General features: G+C 39.1%; 1 protein-coding gene across 5 annotated transcripts in view; it reads left to right on the top strand.

Moving 5' to 3' along the window:
• The window catches only part of EFCAB11 (EF-hand calcium binding domain 11), a 160,109-nt gene that overhangs the window by 16,029 nt on the left and 121,289 nt on the right, over nucleotides 1–22,791 (top strand). For 3 of the 5 annotated variants that reach the window (NM_001284267.2, NM_145231.4, NM_001284269.2), the window contains exons 4-5: nucleotides 6,122–6,223; nucleotides 7,118–7,208. In NM_001284267.2, the coding sequence (NP_001271196.1) occupies nucleotides 6,122–6,223; nucleotides 7,118–7,208 (193 nt within the window). Of the gene's footprint in view, nucleotides 1–6,121; nucleotides 6,224–7,117; nucleotides 7,209–14,071; nucleotides 15,473–22,791 lie in introns of those variants that run through there. The other 2 variants (NM_001284266.2, NM_001284268.2) reach the window with 1 other exon arrangement.

Here is a 22,791-nt window from a genome sequence, read left to right as displayed (position 1 = left end):
GGTTTTACCATGTTGGCCAGGCTGGTCTTTAACTCCTGACCTCAGGTGATCTGCCTGCCGTGGCCTCCCAAAGTGCTGGGATTACAGATGTGAGCCATCACACCTGGCCTCTAACTGTTTTTACTCATTTTCCCTCCAATTATATAGTAAAACTTGATTTCTTCCATTAAGGTAGATTATTTTCTCTTTATTTCCCTACACATCCATAGTAAGCTGGAAGAAAATATTATCCTCTGAATTCATTTATCATAGGTGACAACTCACTATTTTTGAAGTCACTTTCACCTACCATCCTTGCAGTCTTTCTGTGCGAACACATTATATCCTTCTCCCACCCCTTCACTGTCATGGCCTCCAAAAGTCATAATTTGAATTTTGTGTCTCAGACTAGAGAAGGCATTATGTCTTTTGAAAGACTGCTTCATCCTTTTAAACCCTAATTTTTAAGCATTTTTTTAACTCCTGGAAAAATCAATATGTGACACAATGAACATGAACCCTTCCTTTCTACTAAATCTAGGACCAGGCTTACTGTCCAAATAACTTGCGATTTTTATTGTTTTCTCCTTCACTCTCCCCAGGTTTATTGCAGTTTCTAAGTTGAGCTCACTGTGATAGCCAGATGCTAGACTCCTTCATTTTCAAGAGGATTTCTCTGTGTGCACTGACCCTGAAGCTTAGAACTGTGAACCACAAAAAACTATACTTAATGGAACTTTCAAGTAAAAAATTTATATAGTTTTGTTAGACTTTTTGAATTTATCTTCCCCTGTGGTGAAAGATGATTACCCTCCTAAGAAACTGCTTAAAAACAAACAAGTAAAAAAAAATAATCTTTCTAGTCTCTCTCTCTCTATATATATATCTGTCATAGATATATATACATGTATTAAGTAGTTTGGAAACTAAAAAATATGTACATGTTGGCCAGGTGCAGTGGTTCATGCCTGTAATCCCAGTACTTTATGAGGCCGAGGCAGACGGATCACAAAGTCGGGAGTTCGAGACCAGCCTGGCCAATAGGGTGAAACCCCGTCTCTACTAAAAATACAAAAATTAGCCGGGTGTGATGGCACACACCTGTAATCCCAGCTACTCGGGAGGCTGAGGCAGTAGAATCGCTTGAACCCAGGAGGTGGAGGTTGCAGTGAGCCAAGATCGCGCTGTAGCACTTCAGCCTGGCGACAGAGTGAGACTCCATCTAAAATATATATATATATGTTATAGAACATGAAGAGAGTCCATTTTACCAAGGATTGTTTATAAAATGGAAGGAGATGTTTTCCAGTTGTACAAAAAAATGCATGGACTTGCAGGGTCAAGAAGGATTTGTAAAGATCATTGGTCCAGTGGTCTTTAAACCACAAACCTCAATCCTAGATCCTTTGGGGACACATTCAAAGACACTGTTGGATAGGGAAGAATGGGAAGCCCACCCACTTCAAACCAAATAGTTCTTCCTTCATCTCCTCTACACATGAGGCTTTCCATTTTCATATAAAGAAGAATCTTTCCTACAGCTGAAAAAAGAAATAGTTTGCCAACTATTGATAGAGTCTAATGACCCAGGCAATTTCTGAATACCTTCTGCAGACATATTAATAATAAACACAGATAAACACATAGATCTGTGTGGTTCCTAAGGTTGTGATGCTAATTTGTAACCACGGTAAAGGATGTTTAGGTAACTATTAGTAGTGGAACAGTGTGCACAAATGACTCAACATTGTATTTGAAATTAGAATTTTCTGAACATATTCTTCCTCTGGAGGCGGGGTGGGAGGGGACACAGGTAATATATTTCTTATTGGGTATGAAATCTGATGTCAGTAGAATTACTGAAAGCCTTTGTGAAGTGGTAATTTTAGGTTTGAATGTTGTGACAGCAGGTGGAGCTAGTAGTAGGAACTCTATTTCTAGGTTATTTAAAGAGCTAGATGTATACAGCTTACATTAATGTGTTTTCATTGCAGAGCTTCAGGAATAGCATGTTACTATGTATTGGCTTTGGAAAGTGATCATATTACTACAACATGAGAGCCGAGCTGAACAAAAACTCCTCTGTGCTTTTTAGAAAAGGGTCTTGTATTTGGATAAATGTTGCGTTAGAAGATTAAGACAATTAAAGGCATAGAAGGGAGGGGATATGTTCACACAATATATGCTTGATGAGTTTAACCCCTAGAGTATGGACTTTAAGAAATAAAAGCATATGATTGTGTGGGAAAATAGTGTGAAAGAAATTGATTACACATACGGAGTAATTTTTGTTATTGGATGGGTTTTCCTTTTAAGTGGTAATAGGCATACAGTTTAAATCCACATACATTTTCTCCTAGTAAAAGCTAAAGACTGTTTGTTTTTATCCTACAATATTGTAAAATAAAGACCTGAATACTTCACAGCTCCAAATACTCATGAGTTATCTGAATATGTAATTTAAAAGATATCACCACTCAGGTCCTTTTTTTTCCTTGTGAATTACACGATGAACCAGGAATTGTGCTTTTTTCCCTTTATCACTTCTCTAAGTCAAATGCAATGATAAGAGCAAATATTATCGATGTAGTTCTCTCTGAATTTTGTTTGGTTTTTACTATATCATATGTTTTAAGAAATTGGAGTTTCTGAAGTGACAGTTTATTTTGCTGGCTATGTGAATAGAAAGAGACCTACTTTTTGGCATTCATTTACAGAGTTATAAGATCATTTAAAACATGGGTTTTTTTTTTTCTTTTTTTGAGACAGAGTCTTACTCTGTCACCCAGGCTGGAGTGCAGTGGCACGATCTCGGCTCACCGCAACCTCCACCTCCTGGGTTCAGGTGATTCTTGTGCCTCAGCCTCCTGACTAGCTGGGATTACAGGTGCATGCCGCCACACCTGGCTAATTTTTGTATTTTTAGTGGAGATAGGTTTTGCCTTGTTGGCCAGGCTGATCTCAAACTCCTGACCTCAGGTGATCTGCCTGCCTCAGCCTCCCAAATTGCTGGGATTACAGGCGTGAGCTACCGCACCTGGCTAATTTTTGTATTTTTAGTAGAGACAGATTTTGCCATGTTGGCCATGCTGGTCTGGAACTCCTGACCTCAACCTCTCTGCCCACCTTGGCCTCCCAAAGTGTTAGGATTATAGGCATGAGCCATTATACCTGCTCTAAAACACACATTTTAAGCCTGGCATGGTGGCATATGCCTTTAGTTCCGGCTACTGGGGAGACTGAGGTGGGGGATAACTTGAGGCTAGGATTTTGAGGCTGCAGTGCGCTGTGGCCATGCCTGTGACTAGCCTTTGCACTCCAGCCTGGGCAAGAGAGCAAGACCCTGTCTCTAGGAAAAAAAAAAAAAAAAAACCCACATGCATTTTAATGCTTTTTGCTAAAAACTAGAAATAACATCTTGTTTGTTATTATTCATTGAATGTTACTTACTCAGCAAACATGTAATGAATGCCTACTGTCTGCTAGGCATCATGCTAAACATGGGATAAAATTTTGAGAACACTATACACTGCTTTCCCTCAGCATGTCTCAGGCAGACATGTGGCCAAATAATTACCGTAGATCCTAATCACTTCTATGATTGCATGATGAACAAAGGGCCGTCGGGTCACAGAAAAAGGACTTAGCTGAGAGAAATCAGAGACATATTCAAACAGGAGATGATGCCTGGGTTGCATCTGGAAGGAGATACAAATATTCACTAGGAGAAAAAAGGAGAAAGTGCATTATTCCAGGCAGTGTGTTCTATACATGCAAAGGTGTGGAGTGCGAAAGGGCCTCTTGGCTTGGGGAAGCACCAGGAAGTTGACTAGGAAGCCTTGAGAGGTGGACTGGGGTACGTTTCTGAAGGGTCTCCTAGGACATGCCATTATCAGTGAATACATTATTCAAGAATTTCGGCTACTCTAGATGCTACTTAATTGACTAGATTTTGGTGTTCATGAAGCTAAAGTTATGGATATGATCTTATGGGCACATGGCATAGCTAGACTTCAATTTTAACCTCAGCTAACAATTTGTCATTATGTTCTCTGTCACAAGGGTAATTAGATAAGAATGGAGCTGCATCAATATGTATTCCCCACAACTATGGAAAAAAATGCTACATATGCTAATTTGCTACAGTACGTATGATTGAGCACCTGCCAGGCACTCTGGTAGGTGAGGGAGATATGCCCTGTTGCCTAGAAGACAGCCGGCCACCTCCTGAACTTCTCCTCTTGGTTGTCTCCAGAGCACTGAACACTTCACACAGCTGAATGGCAACTCTTCATCTCGCCCCAATTTTGCTCTTCCCCCAGACTTTCTCCTCTCTTTAAGTAGCTCTTCAAGCCAGAATCTACGGGATATTCTTGACATCTCTTTCTTTCTCACCTGCCACATCTAGTTCTTCATCAAGCTATGTCATTTAGATTCTAAAATATATCTGGAAACCTTCCACTCCTCTCATCCCCACTGCCAGCAACCTGGCAACCACATCTCTTGCCAGTAGGCTCCTAACTGGTCTCTCTTTTTACATTTTTGCTCCCCCACCTCCGTCCTTTTATCAGGATAATAGCCAGAAAGATCATGTAACTTCCCAATTCAAACCTTCTGTTGACTTCCTATTGCCACTTAAATAAAACCCAAATTATTTACTGTGGCCCACAAGAGCCTGTGAGTTTTGGCCCCTGCTGCCCTCCCCAACCTCATCTTGTATCACTTCTCTCTGGCTCACTTTGTTCCAGCCACAGCAGCCTTTTTTCATTTTCCCACCTTGCCACACAACAGCCTCGGCACAGGCTGTTCCTACTGCCAGCAATGCTCTTCTTCCCAACATTAGGCAGTTGGTATTGTCTCATGGTTTAGGTCTTGGCTTAAATATCTCCTCCTTGAAGGGCTCTCTCTGTCACCAGAGTCTACTTGACATGAGGATTCCTGTGAATCTTTTTCACAACCTCCTGTCTTTCCCCTCATTGCCCATGCCACAGTTTGTAATGAGGTGTGCATTTGCAGTTGAACCTGTGTAATGACTGCCTTCCCCACCAGATCAGTAGCTCCCTTGGGACTGGAATCATGTGTATTCTCTTTTCCCCTCTATTTCCAAAGCTTAATACAGTGCCTGGCCCATAGTAGGTCCTAAAAGGAATCATTTAAAAAGAGACAGATTTCTTTTTCAGTTTATAAATCTTTAAATGTAAATAAAGATGTAGGAAATTAAGAAAATCATTTCTACATTTTTTTAAATGATTGGAACTATTTTAGAAAAGGTATACAGCTTAGTATTACATCACTAAAAGAAAAAATGTGCATGTGGTTATTGTATGTTTGGAGGCTATTTTTAAAACAGTGATAATTTTTTTATGGAAATTCTGAGTTATAAAAATGAACCACTCTTTTTATATATGTAGAGCTCAGTTCACTAAAATGTTTAAATTCTTGGCTTCGCTCTTTAAACCTACTACAAAGATCACATTAGAATTCGTTTTAATAGACATTGTAAGCACAGTATCCAATCTCATTTTATCATGCTGGGCTCTTTTATGATGAGAGTCGCAGGAAGCTGAGCCTGAGGCTGCTCCACACGTTGTGGGGCGTATCCAGGGCTGGAGATGGTGCCAGCTGTATTGTTTATGTAATATTCTCCCCACCTTTATCTGTGGTGTACAATTGGTATTGACTTTTAAGAAACTACTTCTCTGACCCGATCTCCCAGTTGGAAAAAAACCTGCCATAGTGACATCTGGCTAGGAAAAAAGGGATCAAAGAAGCATAAGGAAACAAAAATTATGAGACCTTGTTTAATAAGTAGTTTCATGCCTATTAGATCTGTTAGAGGGAAGAGTGTTACAGTTTTTTCAAGGTCACCATTCCTTTACCCCTGGAAAAAGCTCAGTGAACCCTAAAAGTGTCTTGTGTTTTCACTATTGATTTCTAGTGTTGGATCTGTTAAATGTTAGCATTTAGCAAAATGCCTTTTTCGGTCTTCAGGAAACTTCACAGATCTTGAGTAAATACTGTTCACCAAAATTAAGATAAAATTTGATTATTGGTGAGATTTATTACTGTCCATTTCTGTTTAATTTTTTCTTAAAGAGGAAGACAATAATCTTTGACAAATTGTTTTTTCCCCAACTTTTAGGTATATTACTCGAGGGGTTTTTAAATATTGTCAGGAAAAAGAAGGAAGCTCAACGATATCGGAACGAAGTAAGACACATCTTCACAGCCTTTGACACCTACTGTAAGTGTCTCTAAAGTGTTTTGATGTAAAAAAAATTACTTTTAAGGGATTGCAAATAGGATTATATACCCAGTAAATCAAATATATAATATACTTGGAAGATTATATTACTGTATTCATTAGCTGTTACCTTAGGTATTGATGCACATTTTTTTCTCCGTCGTGATTTCTTGACATTTACCATAGATGAAATAGTATTTACAGTTATATAGTTGTACTAATATATTGTACCTTGATTGTCATGGGGACTGCAAAAGGACTGGCCCTGGGGGATATAGGCCATGAGCCACCTATGGAGGTGTGGGAGACCGTGTGGCTTCTTCATCAACTCTTGCTCTGACCTACATATGATTGGTGGAATTGTTTTCCCCCATAGGGTGTGGCTGAGAGGGGTGGGTGGCTGTAGACCCCCTAGGCCCCACAGATCATACACAGAATGAAAAGACTCATGGAGTCTAGGGTCAGTGTCTTGACTGCTGTTATGGTTTCCTTCTAAATAGCAATATTTCATGATTCTAATACCACGCAAAGGAAAAAACATGCATTTTGAAGACTGCATTGTTTTGGCAACTCGCAAAGACTCAAAGTCTAACACCGTTGTTAGAGTGCATGTCTCTATATAGTGCTATCTCTGGTACTGAGAGAATCAGCAAAATGATAGGGCCAGAAGTGACCTTCAAGATCAGCCGGGACTGCACTGAAGGAAAGTATTATTAGAATCTTAAATTATTCCGATGAGACAATCTCAGATTACCTTATCTGTGAAATCAATCGTAAACTACTGCTTTTCTCCTAGTAATATATTAAAATAAGTTTTGCACAAATGTTATGGCTGAAGTAACAGTTGATAGGTCTTATTAAAGTAAGTGAATATTTTTTATTGTTTTCAAATAGATCGTGGATTTTTAACTTTGGAAGATTTCAAAAAAGCATTTAGGCAGGTGGCTCCCAAATTACCGGAAAGGACTGTTCTTGAGGTATTCAGGTAAGGCATCAAAATCCTTCTGTACACCACCTTTTGATTTACCATTTGCTTTTACATGTTTTTGACTTTATGGAAAGAACTTATTTATTCTGATTTTTGAGTCTGGAACATTTTTCTCTTGCAGCATAGTGTCATGGTCCAGGAGGGAAATCTATAGTTAGCTATGGGTCCTTCCATGCCCCTGACAGTGAACTGTAAAGTTGGGGGAGCGCTTGCACACCAGGCAGGTGCATACAAGCACTTATGAGTAGGGGCAGGAGAGGAACAGGAAGAAAGAACTTCTTCAGATACTTACGTGTGAACCAAGGGAAAATGGAGCTTTAGTAATATTTAGCATGGATGCTGGTGTCCTCACATGGTCTGTATTTCAGACAAACACAGGTTACATGTGGTTCTTGAGTTGTCTGGAGAGAACAGCTGGAGTTGCCTGATGGTAGCCCCCTTGTTCCCTTGCTTTCAAAGCTACTGACACATGTTGCTGTTCACACATACCTGATAAAGTGGATTTAAAGATTATATTATGTGGTTCTTATGAACAAATCCTGACAAAATGGACAAGTGGCTTAAAAGCAGTTTTTGTTAGGAAACTGCAGATTGAAGGTAATATTAATAGTGCAAACACATGCTGACGTGAGAACACAGCAGAGCTGTCTCTTCTCTGACTCCCAGCATGAGCTCTTCATCAACCCTGTTAACAGGTGTATTCATTAGCGTTCAGCACACCAGCGAGAGCCAGAAAACCCAAAAGAACGGAAACTCAAAAAATATAGAAATTCATTTCTCTGCCATATAAACATAGGCAAACCAGGGGCGAATGTTGACCACACAGTCGGGAAGGATCCAGATTGCCCCTTTTCTTGTTGCTCTGGCTGTATCAACACCTGGCTTCTCCCTCTTGCTTCAAGATGGTTGCTTAAGTTTCAGCAGTCAAATATTAAGTTTCAGCAGTCAAATCTGAATTCCAGCTGGTTAGGAGGAAAAGAAAGTAGAAGGTATGCACTCCTTTTCAGGATATATATTATTTCCACTTACAACCCAGTGACCAAAACTTAGTTCCAAGGTCATGCACAGCTGCAAGGGGGAAGGGTTTTGGAAAATGTAGTCTTTGCTCTGGGCAATGATGTGCCCACGAATAGAGGTTCTGATACCAAGGAAGAGGGGGAGAGAATGGATATTGGGGGACATCTGGCAGATGTTCCCATTTGGGATAAAAGTAACTTAATGAAATATGACCAGAGCCAGCCCTTCTCAATAGAAATTAGTAAATAGGTTATTTGAATGAAGATTTGCAGTCATTATCATTAACAGTGACATATATGAAATTCATTTGCTGCATCATTGACAAGCAAGCTACTGAGCAAGCTATTGAAGAAGAGCAAAGAAGTTAAAGCCAGATGCATACAAAATGCTTATGGGAAAACATTACTTAGCTGATTTTGTAAAAGCAAATCCTTTAAAATGTAGCATCTTTGTATTTTGTGATGAGATAGGTAGTGAATATCAATATACTTCTACCATACAAAAGTTGTTTTTAACAAAGGAACTAAAAATTGATACTCATTTTCTTTTTACAAAAAGACCAGTTGTCCAAATATGATGAACTTTATGTGTTAAATGGTTTTAGTAGATACTACCTTATAGAGATTTTTGAAAAATGTTTTTAAATATAGCCATTCAAGATACAGGCAATGTTTTAACGATGAATGAGAAAGTAACACCTTCTTAGAAGAAAAGCTATGCTACAGGGAGAACATTTTTGAAATAGATGTTTGAAAATGTTATTTTATTTTAAAACATAATGTCACCTATTAAAATTCATATCTGCATGTTTGGTATGTTTAAAATGGAATGTCCTGGCCAGGCATGGTGGCTCATATCTGTAATCCCCACACTTTGGGAGGCCGAGGCAGGTGGATCACCTGAAGTCAGGAATTCGAGACCAGCCTGGCCAACATGGCGAAACCCCATGTCTACTAAAAAGACAAAAATTAGCTGGGCATGGTGGCATGCGCTGTAGTCCCAGCTACTCGGGAAGCTGAAGCAGGAGAATCACTTGAACCTGGGATGCGGAGGTTGCTGTGAGCTGAGATCACACCACTGCACTCTAGCCTGGGTGACAGAGTGAGACTCTGTCTCAAAAATCTGTAAAGTTGTGGTGATTTTAGCACACAATTATTAAAAACAGAAATTCGGCCTGGTGTGGTGGTTCATGCCTGTAATCCTAGCACTTTAGGAGGCCAAGGCAGGAGGACTGCTTGAGGCCAAGAGTTCAAGACCAACCTGGGCAACAGAGACCCTGTCTCTACACAAAATACAAAAATTAGCCAGGTATGGTGGCATATACCTGTAGTCCTAGCTGCTAGCTATTTGGGAGGCTGAGATGGGAGGATCTCTTGAGCCCAGAAGTTCGAGGCTGCAGTGAGCCAAGGTTGCACCCCTGCACCCCAGCCTGGGCAACAGAGCAAGACCCTCCTAAAAAAAAATATGTGTGTGTGTATATATATATATATGTATGTATTTATATGTCCATCTTTCCATAGGTTAGAGTATATCTTGAAAATGTATTAAAGCTATTGAATTATATATATAATTATATATTGAACTATATATGTAATATATAATTATGATTGGAATTATATAAATGTATATAATTGTATATATGTAATATATAATTATAGATGTTTAAGCATATGTAATATGTAATATATAATTATTTAATTATATATGTAATCTATAATATATAATTAATTGCATTTATTTAATTATATATGCAATATATAATTATATAATTAATATAATCAGTTATATACAACAGAATTATATATTATTAATAATTGTATATATGATTAACATATATAAACATACATAATTATATATATAATTCAATAGCAAGATATCAGGAAAGATGGACTTTACTAGCTGAATTTTAGTTGGCATTAACAACAAAATAATAATTTAAGAAAACAAAACAAATTTTCAAATTCCTAAACCTTTGCATTATCAGAGGATGGAGTCAGTGGCATGATGAGCTTTTCCCATTTAGATCTATGTATTTACATGAGGTACCTATACTGTCCATTAAAACCAAGTATCAAAACAAATTGAATTTTAAATTGCTCACTTATAAAATATTAAGCCAAGATTTTCAGAAATAATAGAGTATATTAATGTACATTGTTCTGGTTAAGTATTAATAATTTCTAGAGACATCAGAAAGTTATTTGCCATTAATAAAATATTTTATCTTTAATTCTTTAGAAATTTCTATACTTTAACCATGTACATAGTATATTAATATAATAACATATGTGCTCCTCTATAAATAAGTATATTCATGTTGTGGAGTATATGCCCACAAATCTTGTACTTCCTAGGGTTGTGAGACCAAAACAGTTTGGAAACCACTGTAACATACAGCCAAAGAAGATACTTTGTTGACTGAATATGGGCTTTTTAAACTCTCAACTGTATTTTTATAATATCACAATCCCAAAGTTAGACTAAATAATGAATAACACGGTCAGGCATGGTGGCTTGCACCTGTAATCCCAGCACTTTGGGAGGCCGAGGCGGGCGGATCACCTGAAGTCAGGAGTTCCAGACCAGCCTGGCCAACATGGCGAAACTCCATCTATACTAAAAAGTACAAGAATTAGCTGGGCGTGGTGGTGGGCGCCTGTAATCCCAGCTACTCAGGAGGCTGAGGCAGTAGAATCGCTTGAACCCGGGAGGTCGAAGTTGTAGTGAGCCGAGATCGTGCCACTGCACTTCAGCCTGGGCAACAAGAGCGAGACTCCGTCTCAAAAAAAAAAAAAGAATAACACATATTAAAGGAAGTTGCGAACTGGAAAAATATTTCCTGTTTGTGTAAATTGAAGTAGGCCAAAGAAACAGAGATGTCTAACATATCACACATATCCTTATTTCAGTCATGCAAACAATTTTCAATAATAAAAAAATCAGCTGCTGAGGCTATTAGTGATGCAAAATTATTTAATGTTTCCAAGGTTAGACGTTCACTTTTTGAGACGCTTGAGTAGCTTTTCACTTAATTGACTAGCATGTATGGGTTTCTTTACCCAGGTCCACAATTCACTACACAGGTCCAGAAAAAAAGCTGATCTCTGAAAAGCACTAGGAGAAGGCAGCTAGAGAGGGAGAATTCTAATTAGGCCGGGGTCCTCTGTGGCTTGAATGACTGAATAAGTTTTTATAGTCTTCAATTCAGTGACTGCCAGATTCTTCCCAAAGAAATTTCTAGAGATCAAGAGTAGGCTCTTTCGGAAGTACTTGCCCGTATTACACTTTAATTTTACAAACCAAACAACAGCAATTCAACCAATCAAACAACAAAAACAATCCAAAGAAAGAGACTTGGACATAGGCATCAAGGAATCATTTCACTTTATAATTTAATAGAACACTGGTGTATCATTCATTAATTCTGAAAGTGAGAACTAAATGTAAAATAATTTTGTAAGGTTTGTGAATTGTTGCCTAGGTATTCTGGTGATGTTTACTTTAGTGATTTTATCATTAATGAAAGCAATGTGTTTTTTTAGAAAACATATTATTAGGGTTCATAACGTTGACATTCTGTTGTGCAATCATAATCTCCTGTTTTGTTTTAGTCATAGCTCTACAGTTGAATGAATTCAAAGCTCACCTCCAGGCCTTTTGCTATGGTTTCTGTTTAGCTGAAGTTTATCCTCAAGTAGGGGTCATAAGAATTATATTCCCCACTGTCTTTCATGTTCAAAAATGCTTATCTGGGTCATTGTATTTGAATAAAAATATGTAATGGATTGAATGCTAACATTTTTGAGTCACATTCTTTTTCTTTGAGAACATTGGTTATGCCTATTTTGGAAGTCCTTTTAAGTTTTTTGCTAATTTTTATTTTAATTGCTTGCTTTGCTCTTAGTATATTACCATGTCTCTTCGTGTATTTTCAACAATATCTATTCTCCTTTGTGCTGCATCCAATTTGGCATTTTTCTTTTTCTGTTTTGGTTTTACTTTTCTCTTACATTTCTTTCTTGAGCTGTATCTGCTGATGTCTCATATCCTTTTGTTATTTTGCTGTATCTTGTTATTTTGTAGTAGCTCCCCTACCTACTTTCAGCTCTTGTTTTATAGAGGTCTTTGTTTTATTAGGGGAAACAGTGATTTTTCAGATTTTATTTTTAAATGAGTGATTGCTTGGGGGAAACTAATTATAACTTTTTCCACATAAATTAATGAAAGCAAGTTTTCTACCAAGAGAAAAGTTGTGAGGAACAAATTACTTTCATAAACCAAGGGATATCTCATATACAAAATTCAAAATTGCTACTCATTTGTTATGTCTAAAGATATTATAAAATCTTTAATACTTGGATTTCAAAATTTGAGACTTTTTTCAGTGTTTGAAACTTAAAACTTTCGGGTGGGTGCGGTGGCTCATGCCTGTAATCCAACACTTTGGGAGGCCGAGACGAGTGGGTCACTTGAGACCAGCCTGGCCAACATGGTGAAACCCCGTCTCTACTAAAAATAAAAAAAATTATCCCAGCATGGTGGTGCATACCTGTAATCCCAGCTACTCAGGAGGCTGAGGCACAAGAATTGCTTGAACTTTGGAGGCGGGGGTTGCAGTGAGCCGAGATCACGCCACTGCACTCCAACCTGGGCGACGGAGCAAGACTCTGTCTCAAAAAAAAACTTGTCTCTACTGAAAATACAAAAATTAGCTGGGTGTGGTGGCACGTGCCTGTAGACCCAGCTACCCAGGAGGCTGAGGCAGGAGAATCGCTTGAACCCGGGAGGCGGAGGTTGCAGTGAGCCCAGGCTGCGCCATTGCACTCCAGCCTGGGTGACAGAGCAAGACTCCATCTCAAAAAAAAAAAAAAAGAAAGAAACATAACTTTGTATTCCTCTTAGAGCTGGTAGTCACAATTTGTGTGTTTGTGTACTGTATCAAAGATGATGTTTCATTTTTAGTCAGAATTTCTACCCATTAAAAATGGCAGAAGTTCAAGAGACATAAGAGCTGTTTGTACTATAGTACTGTTTGTACTATAGAATTAATGTTAGATAATAGGGTGTTTTGAGCAATTAAAAGTTAAGTAAGAAACATCTTTCCTCTTTAACACTAATAAAACTGACTGAAAATTTTGTAGTGCTATCTTTTGTTTTTCATGTTCAGAAATCTTCAGTGACTCTAAGGGGTATAGTTAAAACTCTTTAACCTGGCTTTCCAACATCTGGTCTCTTTTCCAACATCTGGTCCCCTTTTCAAACTCATCTTACATCAGTCCCAAATTCCTGTGTTTCCCTTGGCGTGGTACTTGTTCCTTTGATTATGTGATGTGCATTTATGCTTCATTCTGTTTGCAGTGCCTTTCTCTACTCTTACCTGTCCAGGTTTAAACCATCTTTAAAGGTCCTCCTCAATAAAGCCTTTCTTTCTCTGCATTGTACAGTCTTCTTTCCTTAAATGTTGATAGTATTTATTGTTATGTATTTTTTCATTCACTTACTTGATAAATGAAAACACAGTGTTTATGATTATCCCCATAAATTAGTACAAGTTCTTTGAGTTTATGGACTTATATCTGTAATCGCCACTGTCCTTGGCATGTTGCCTTTTGCACTGCAGTTAATAAATAATCGTTGGTCCATTGCCACTTATTCCAAATACCCTGTGACAGTAAAATTCTGTTTTCTTCGTGGTTTAATTTATTTCTCATAAACTAGGAAAGAGTCCTTTAAAATGCAGTCAGGAGCTTCATAGCCACATGTGGCTTTGCTTTCCATTTTCCTCTGTCTACATGTGATTTTCATGAATTAATCTCTGGTGGTCTCTTTTTGCTTTATTTCAGAGGCATTTTCAGTGCATGATTTAACTTCGGCTGTCATCAGGAAGCTGACTTAAAGTTCTTTCTTGACTTTGCCTGCCATCAACACCCTGTGGTATTTCTGGCTGGCATTTTTCTCTGCATGGATATGTTTACTTCTCCATGCCTAGGAACCTTCTCCATCTCATTGTAAGCACTGCTATTTGTACATTCCCACCACCTGTCAGTTGGCAAAAAGCTCTGGGAAGCTGCTTTTGCTTCCCAGTCATGAGATGAAATGTGAATGTGCATAAGGTCCATGCCCTGACCCAGCGTCCAAGATCCTGAGTGCACAGGCAGATTGCCACATGATGATGTAAAGTGGCAATATCGAGGCACCAAATGCTCCCATCATGACTGGAGACGTTTAAAGTTATATCCTGATATTTTTGGTGTAAGAATCCCTTTCTTCATATTACACAAGGGAAGGTCAAAGGACATAGGACATCTAACTCTCCTTTTTTGAATATTAGAAATTGGGTGAAAATGAGAATGTCATTGCTTGTTGAATAAGATATTTTCAAAATCAGAGTATTAGTGGGGGCTGGGTCTTAGGAATGCAATTGTAAAAGGGAGTGATGGATATTCCCTTGGCAGAAAAATTATATAGATGTTATATCACAGCCATTATAGGGGTAAGGACTGTCACCAGCTTGGGTAAAACAAATAGGCTCTTCTGTTATGCTGATTGGAAGAGTCTTACAGAGCTGAGGGCCTAAAGGAAAGTGATTTCAGAGAACATTTACTTTTTCAAGTCATTTGCGTCTCTTTTGAAATGTTATTTCTCACTGTAATTTTTAGCTTCCCATAATTCCTTTCTGCCAGCAGCCAACTTGTGGAGTATCATTTTCCTGGTCCATCTCTAACAAGAGAAAATTTCCAGTCATTATTTTGTGCTTCAGAATGATTCTGTGTATGATCATGCAACTTCAGTAAGATCACAGTTATTAAAATGAGTACCTAATTTAGTGACTATGACTATTGGTCTTTGAGTATCTGCCTGCTTCCAGGTATAGAAACATCCATAAAAACACCTACAAATCATATTTCATTCTTTGTAGCCATACATAGATAACAGTCATCAGCTATACCTTCTGTGTGAATGGCATGACCGAAGAAGTAGACTTCTTGAGGTCCCAACTTTTATTTCATGAAATTTTGTGTCTTCTCTGGAATGGAAATGCTTTAGTTTTTATTTCAATGGTTTTGTTTCAAAATTATATTGTCAGAGATTCCCTTTTCTGATTGTCCTGTTGCACATGCTTATAAGATGGGGAGTATGAATGTGTGTAAGCTTTTCAAGCTGACCTCAGAATTTCCTCTCTGAGGGACTTCTAGGGATTTTCACATGTGATATATTGAATAAAACTGTACTTTAAAAATTCAGCTATAGAAATAATTATGTTCTAGTCATTTTAAGAAAATACCAATTTTTCAGAGGGTTCTTAATTGATTTTGATTGTCTCTTTTTACCAGTATGAACTTTAGAAATGGAGGAATTGAAACTCAGAAACTGGACCAGGAAGCAAGTAGAGAAGATGACTTTGTTACATAGATTTTCAAATAGATTATGTTATTTTGGTTTCTTCATTTAAGCTAACTTATGAAGGATATATTATTAGATTGGAAGGAATATTTAGTCTCTTCACATTTAGGAAGCTCAGATTTTGAAGTCCTCTCTCATGTTAAACCCATCCGGATACAAATTCGATTCATCCTTCAAGGCCCAGCTGTTAAGATATTTCTTATCTTGAAAGCCGGCCCTACTCTGCCACCTTGCAACCCCCAAAAAGGAAATTGTCTTCACCTTCTGCTTTAAACTCCTAATCTTTCATAAATATCTTTCTTCTTCATGCTTTTTCATAGTTATTTGTACCCATGTGTTATTTCCAGTGTCAGAATGGAAGCTAAACGTGAGAAGGCATAGTAGGGTATTCATCATCACACTCCCCACACCCGTAGCACAGTTTTGTAGGTCTTGAATAGATGACTTCATCTTATGTAAATGAATGGCTTATTTCATTGGAAAAAAAACCACAGGCTTTTTATTACTATTATTTGTTTTACTCTTTAAATACCACACTGGCACCATGTTAAGGTCAGGAGTCTAGTCAAGCCCCAGGATGAGTTCTAGGCCCAGCTCTGCCTCTGACCCATTTTTCCACAAATCAGTGAACCTCTCTGGACTGCACTGTCATCTGAGAAAAAAGGGTGTTGTGTTATACAATCTGGCAGGCTTCTCCAGCTCTGAAATTCACTGGTGGCGTCATCTATCATGGAGAATGGCATGGCCGTCTCCTTTATTTTCCCTGCATACCACAGATATTATTCAGAATCCACCACAGCATGAATATAGATGTGGTCTGTCAGTGTGACAAAGACTGTTCTCAAGAGGAAATTACTGGGTTTGACAGCTACCCAACCCTGGGTTTAGTTTTTGGGATGTCACTATAGCAAGTGTTGTGGCCGATGTATCCAATTCCTCATCTACATATATGGCTGAATATGCTGTTCTTGCTGTAATAGCATGAGGGCTATTTTTCTTTTAATTCAGCTGTCACATAGGAAACTGCTGCCATGGTTTCCTTCTATGACCAAATGTTGCTAACCCTTTCAGTCATCCTTGAAGTTATTAATAGCCACACATCATGAATGTATTCATGCCATTTCCTTTATAGAAAAAGGAATCAATTTCTCGTGTTTTTCTTTTGTAGTAGATAGCTAACTTCTAGGTGGAATTTTGGTAATATTGAATGTCATATTTATAAAATAAGAGAAATCTGTATTTAATAAAATACACATTTTATGAGATACTTAACAATTGTTTTAAAATGCCATGACAAAGTAGGCCAGGAATTAAGAATTACATCAAAGTTTTGATTGTCCACCTTATGTATAGACTAAAATCAAGACCAAAGATTTCCAGTACTACATTTTTATCGATGACAGCAACCTATGAGTTTGTTGCCTTATGTCTGGCCATCTTGTCTGCCTACCTCCTACCCCATCGTTCTCCTCCATCAGGCTACCTCAGATAAATGCATCCTTGACATTCAAAGAGTTCTCCAAAGACCAGTGGCATCAGCATCAGGGAGCTTATTAGCAACGCCTAATCTCAGGCCCCACTCCAAAGGTACTGAGTCAGACATGTTTAATATTCCTAGGTGATTCATATGCACATTAAAGTTTGAAAATCACTGGCCTACCCTAGTTAAATTTTGGATAATTTGAGTAAATTATCATCTCTATTTATGTTACTTCCTAACTTCAATAGCTTTTTATTCCCTACCAAATAATGTCTAGATTCCTTAGCCTGACATACAAGGCCCCTACAGACAGAAACATACAAGGCCATATAGACAGAAATGGCTGTGCCTTTTTTGCATGTCCCCCAGTATTTCATCCTACTCCGCCTTTCTGGTCTTCTTGCCATATACTGTCTCATTTCTCTCCTAGCATTTTTGTTTATGGCAGGTTCACTGCTCTCTTTCCTCTTCCTCCCACTACCCCATCCACATATCTGAATGGTATCCATTCCTTAGCTGAACATTCTTCTATGTAGCCTTTCTTTTCTTTCTTTCTTTTCTTTTTTTTTTTTTAGACAGAGTCTCACTTTGTCACCTAGACTGGAGTTCAGTGGCGCGACCTCGGCTCACTGCAACCTCTGCCTCCCAGGTTCAAGTGATTCTCCTGCCTCAGCCTCCCAAGTAGCTGGGATTACAGGCGCCCACCACTATGCGCAGCTAATTTTTGTATTTATAGTAGAGATGGGGTTTCACCATGTTGGCCAGGCCGGTCTCAAACCCCTGACCTCAAGTGATCCACCCTCCTCGGACTCCCGGAGTGCTGGGATCACAGGTGTGAGCCACCACGCCCGGCCCTATGTAGCCTTTCTTTATCACTCCAGCCCACAAAATATCTTTCCTCTTCTGTAGAACTCCTATAACACTTGCCATATTGACATATTTAATGGTAGCAACCGCAACACCACTGGCAACTAATATTTACTAAGTGTTTTCCATGTGCCAGGCACTGTGCTGAACGGATCCTCACAGGAACATCTTGGGTTGGGCTCCGTCTGTCCCCATTTTACACATGAGGGAAAAGCTCAGAGAGGTCTAAAGACTTGCTCAAGGTCACCAGCTGGTGACTGATGGAACCAAGATTCAAACCGAAGGAGGCTGCCTTTCCAGCTTATGCTCTTAATCACTGTCATATTCCTTTCTCACTTCTTTTAACAGCGTTAGAGACCCTGAAGGTAGGAAGCATGCTTTTGTGTCCCTCCATTGCCTAGCATAAACACCAGGAAGCAAGGCCTATTCACTCTGCCCTAAGAGCATTCTTGATGCACTGGTTGCATGATTATATGGCTTTTCCCTGTTCCTATGAAGTGGTTTGGTTTGGATTGTTATACTTGAGATTTCATTTGAAAAAATATACAAAAGGAAGCTGATGCAACATTTATATCCATCAAACTGTAGAAGGCATTCCAGTTCAGATTGCTCTGATAGGAACCCATGTGTTACGCATCTTGCCTATGGAATTATATCACAAGACCAAAGGATTTGCCAAATAAATTATAAAAATCAAATATATTGAAAATTGCTGAGAGGAGTTTTATCATAATTTTAACTGGAGTGGGAGTGCTAAACGAAATTCATGACTTTCTCTTCATAAGGGAGGATTATACTTTGATTCACTTGGAAGAGTCTTTAATCAGTTACTGTGAGTTTAGCATTGTGTTTTATAAATTCCAGCTGGGCCACATTATCTGCTCTTCTTCTCTCCTTGGTTGCAACCTGCTGCTGGAGAAAATCAGGGCAAAGCAGTGATTAAATCCACTATAGACTTACTGTGAAGCCTCGTAGTTCCTGCACTCGCTCTTGCCTCTGCCTACCCCAGCCCTTGAAGCTACTGATGATGGCTCCTTTGGTAGACTGGCTCACCCATTTCCTAAGCCAGCCCCAGGAAAGGCAGAACAAGTACTAATACTAATACCCTTTACTCTCCCCCCTACTCTGCCTGTTTATCACTCACTTTTACCTGCCTCCCACTCATGGAGTTTTTAGAATTTTAAAATCCCAGGACTGGTTACCGGTGGCTAGACATGAATCCTGGACTCTTGTCATTATTCCCGACCCTCCTCCTTTCTCCCAGTGCCATGTCCTCCACATGCCACACCTCTAGTCTCCTTAGCTACCATTAAGCCCAAGAATCAATGTTGACACCACTTTTTCCTCCTTATCTTCACTTAGGCCTCTGTCCAAGGCCCCCGCCCTTTGTTCTGACCCATACTGCAGGGCCTGCACTGTTAAGTGGGCTCAGGTGCTTGGACCTGCTCTTGGCCGATCTGAGATCTGAAGCTTACTTACCACTTGCCTTCTTTCTTTAATGTGTCTGCCTCCCCATCATACATTCCACAGTGAATTAGTGTTTCTCTCTCTCTCTCTCTCTCTCTGTCTCTCTCTCTCTCTCTCATCAAGTGTGATGTCTGAGAAATCTCTAAACTCTGCTATCCACCTTCCTGGATCCTCTTGCTTAGATCCCCTGGTGCCGGCCTTGATCCCAGAATGGGACCATGTCACAGTACAGGCAGAAACTGATCTCTATGTGACCAAAGTGTTTGGGCTACCAGAATCTGTCTTCTGTACTCAGTTCCCCCACCCTGGTCCTGTGTCATTCCAGAATGCCTTCCATTTCATGCAGAGATCTGGTATGCCTGTCACTCAGGTCAGACAATACCCCTATTGCTATCCAGGAGAAATGTAACTCAGCTGGCTTCAGTTCCCTGTTATAGGGATGGCACGTAGTTGACATGCCTGCCACTGACCCCTCCTGTACCTGTGGCTGCCCTCTTCTGCAGAACTCAGAGTTCTTCTCAGTACAATACCCCAAGCCAGCTCATTAGAGTTGTCATATGAGATCAAATCTCTTGCTCTCTCTGTAAGGATGTATTCTCTGTGATGGTTGTACCAAACCTTTCCCACTACTGTGCTTTGCAGGTGATCTTGCCTTTTTCTTCATGGAGAGGATCATGGCCTCTTCCTGGGTTTACTGCCTTCTCTTCATCTCTTTTCTGTATTCCTTTAATTTTCTTTCTTCTTCTTCTTCTTTTTTTTTTTTTGAGATGGAGTCTCGCTCTGTTGCCCAGGCTGGAGTGCAGTGGTGTGATCTCGGCTCACTGCAACCTCCACCTCCTGGGTTCAAGCGATTCTCCTGCCTCAGCCTCCCAAGTAGCTGGGATTACAGACGTGTGCTACCATGCCCGGCTAATTTTTGTATTTTTAGTAGAGATGGGGTTTCACCATGTTGGTCAGGCTGGTGTGGAACTCCTGACCTCAGGTGATCCACCTGCCTTGGCCTCCTAAAGTGCTGGGATTACAGGCGTGAGCCACCACGCCCAGCCTTCCTTTAATTTTATTTCTGAGGAAAAGGGGTCTCTTCTTTTTTTCCTAATTCCTCTCTTTTGTTCTGGTCTTCTCTCTTCCCCTTTTTTTGATCTAAGACATTTCTCCATCAGCCATTCCCACTTCTGTTTATAATGCCTATCCCTGCCTGAAGATATACTCATATCCATCCTAGAAAGCTGCTCTCCCCAACTAAGTACCTCCAGTTGTCCCCTGTCCTTTTTCTCAGGGTTCATTGTTGCCAGCTTCTCACAGCATTCACACCCTGCCTGGAGAGCCAGTCCTCGATTCTCGCTCTTCCCCAGCTTTCATTGCACTGTATTGTCCACTGCAGTCACAGTGCTTCCCGTTCATTGATTACCAACTACGTGTTGCCTTACTTAGTCCTTACAGTGACTCTCCACATCAACGGCATTTCTATCCATTTTACAGTTAAAGCTGAGAGTCCTTTATTGCTCAATTCAAACCAAACAACTAATTCGCAATTATTATTATTTTTTTGGTCAAAGAAGTCACAGAACCAAGCCCCTAGGGCAATCAGAATTTTTTATTTGATTATAATCATGTTGCTGGTACTTGTTAATGGTCAAGTGTTTTCATAACCTCAAAATGTTATTTTCTTGTTTAGAAATGCCACTGCCTAGTAATGATAATGATGGAGTAGACTGAATTTACAGGTAGAATAAAATGTCTGCACTCCCATGTTAATTGCAGCATTATTCACAATAGCCGAGATATGGAAACCCATATTAAGTGCCCACCACTGGATGAATGGATAAAGAAATTGTGGTATGTGTGTACAGCAGAATATTATTCAGCCTTAAAAAAGAAGGAAATCCTGCCATTTGCAACAGCATGGAGGAATCTGGGGACATTATGCTAAGTGAAAGAAGCCAGACACAGAAAGACAAATATTGCATGATATTACTTATATGTGACATCTAAACTAGTCAAACTTGGAGAAAAAGAGTGGAATGGTAGTTGCCAGGGGCTGGGAAGTGGGGAAGATGGGGAGATGTCGGTCAGAGGATACAAAATTTTAGTTACAGGGTGAATGAATTCTAGTGATCTAGTGTACAGCATGGTAACTATAGTTAATGTGTTGTGTACTTCAGATTTGCCAAGGGAGCAGATCTTAAGTGTTTTCAACACACACATACACACACACACACACACACACACACACACACACACACACACACGAAGCATGTCAGGTGATGGATATGCTAATTAGCTTGACTGTGAGTCATTACACAAAGTATACTTTTATAAAAACGTCATCTTGTATACCTTAAATATAGACAATTTTTTGTCAGTCATACCTCAAAAAATGTCTACACAGACTTAGTGAGACTCATGACATGAGTCATGTTAAAGGATATAAGAAACAAATAAAAGTTTAAAAATGCTTTTCTTAACCCAAGTCTTATTGTTAGGATTCCTCATAATCCAGTCATGACTTCAATTAGAAATCCTTGCCGTGGGATATCAAGACTCTTGTCCAAGGAGAGGAAGGGGCAGGAGGGTCTCACTCTTGTTCTCTCCTTGTAAAAATTTAACTCTGTTTGCAGGAGAGAGTATTTGACGAATACATGAACAAATAAATGAATGAAATGAACGAAGGAATAGAATTAATCTGATCAAAGTTTACATGTTCAAATTATGTGTTGAATTGGATAGAGCAGCTGCTGGCCCTTACTTTTTTCTGGGCCTATTTCAAATGGTCTTCTTTACTAGGCTTTCAATTGGAGATTTAGACTTGGAGGCTTTAACAAATATGAATTGAGTACACATTTGTATAGCGATTTAAACTGCTATTATCACAAAATTGTCACAGTAGTTTTAAACTCTGTCAGATGGCTTTTAACCAAACCCTGCCATCAGAGTCAAATTTGATTCTTTGGATGGTTCTTTCCTTTTTTCTGTCTCTTTCACATTGTCTAGTAAAGAAGTTTCTTCAATGACCAGTTTTGTCATAGAGTTGGTGCCATTTATTCTGTGGGTTACAAATTTATCATCACAAGTAGCTAGATGTACTTCTCATAGACAACTTGTATCCACAAATTTGTTGTTTTTTTCTTTTTTTCTTTTTTTTTTTTCTGAGCCATTCTCCCTAGAAAACACAAATTGTTTTGGGGGGAAAAATTAGACTGTTCTTCAGGGGTATTTATTTTCATGATTCACTGTGCAGAGATCGGAGTTGTGCCTTAAGGGCTTGGCTCTGCTCTCTTGATACTGGTATCCATTGCTAGGTGTGGCTCAATTAAACAGGAAGGATGGCTAGATAGCATATATATT

The sequence above is a fragment of the Homo sapiens genome, chromosome 14 (genome assembly GCF_000001405.40).
Source record: "Homo sapiens chromosome 14, GRCh38.p14 Primary Assembly".
NCBI classification, from domain to species: domain Eukaryota; kingdom Metazoa; phylum Chordata; class Mammalia; order Primates; family Hominidae; genus Homo; species Homo sapiens.
The sequence above is the reverse complement of the archived record's forward strand: the minus strand, read 5'-3'. Positions and strand labels throughout refer to the sequence as shown.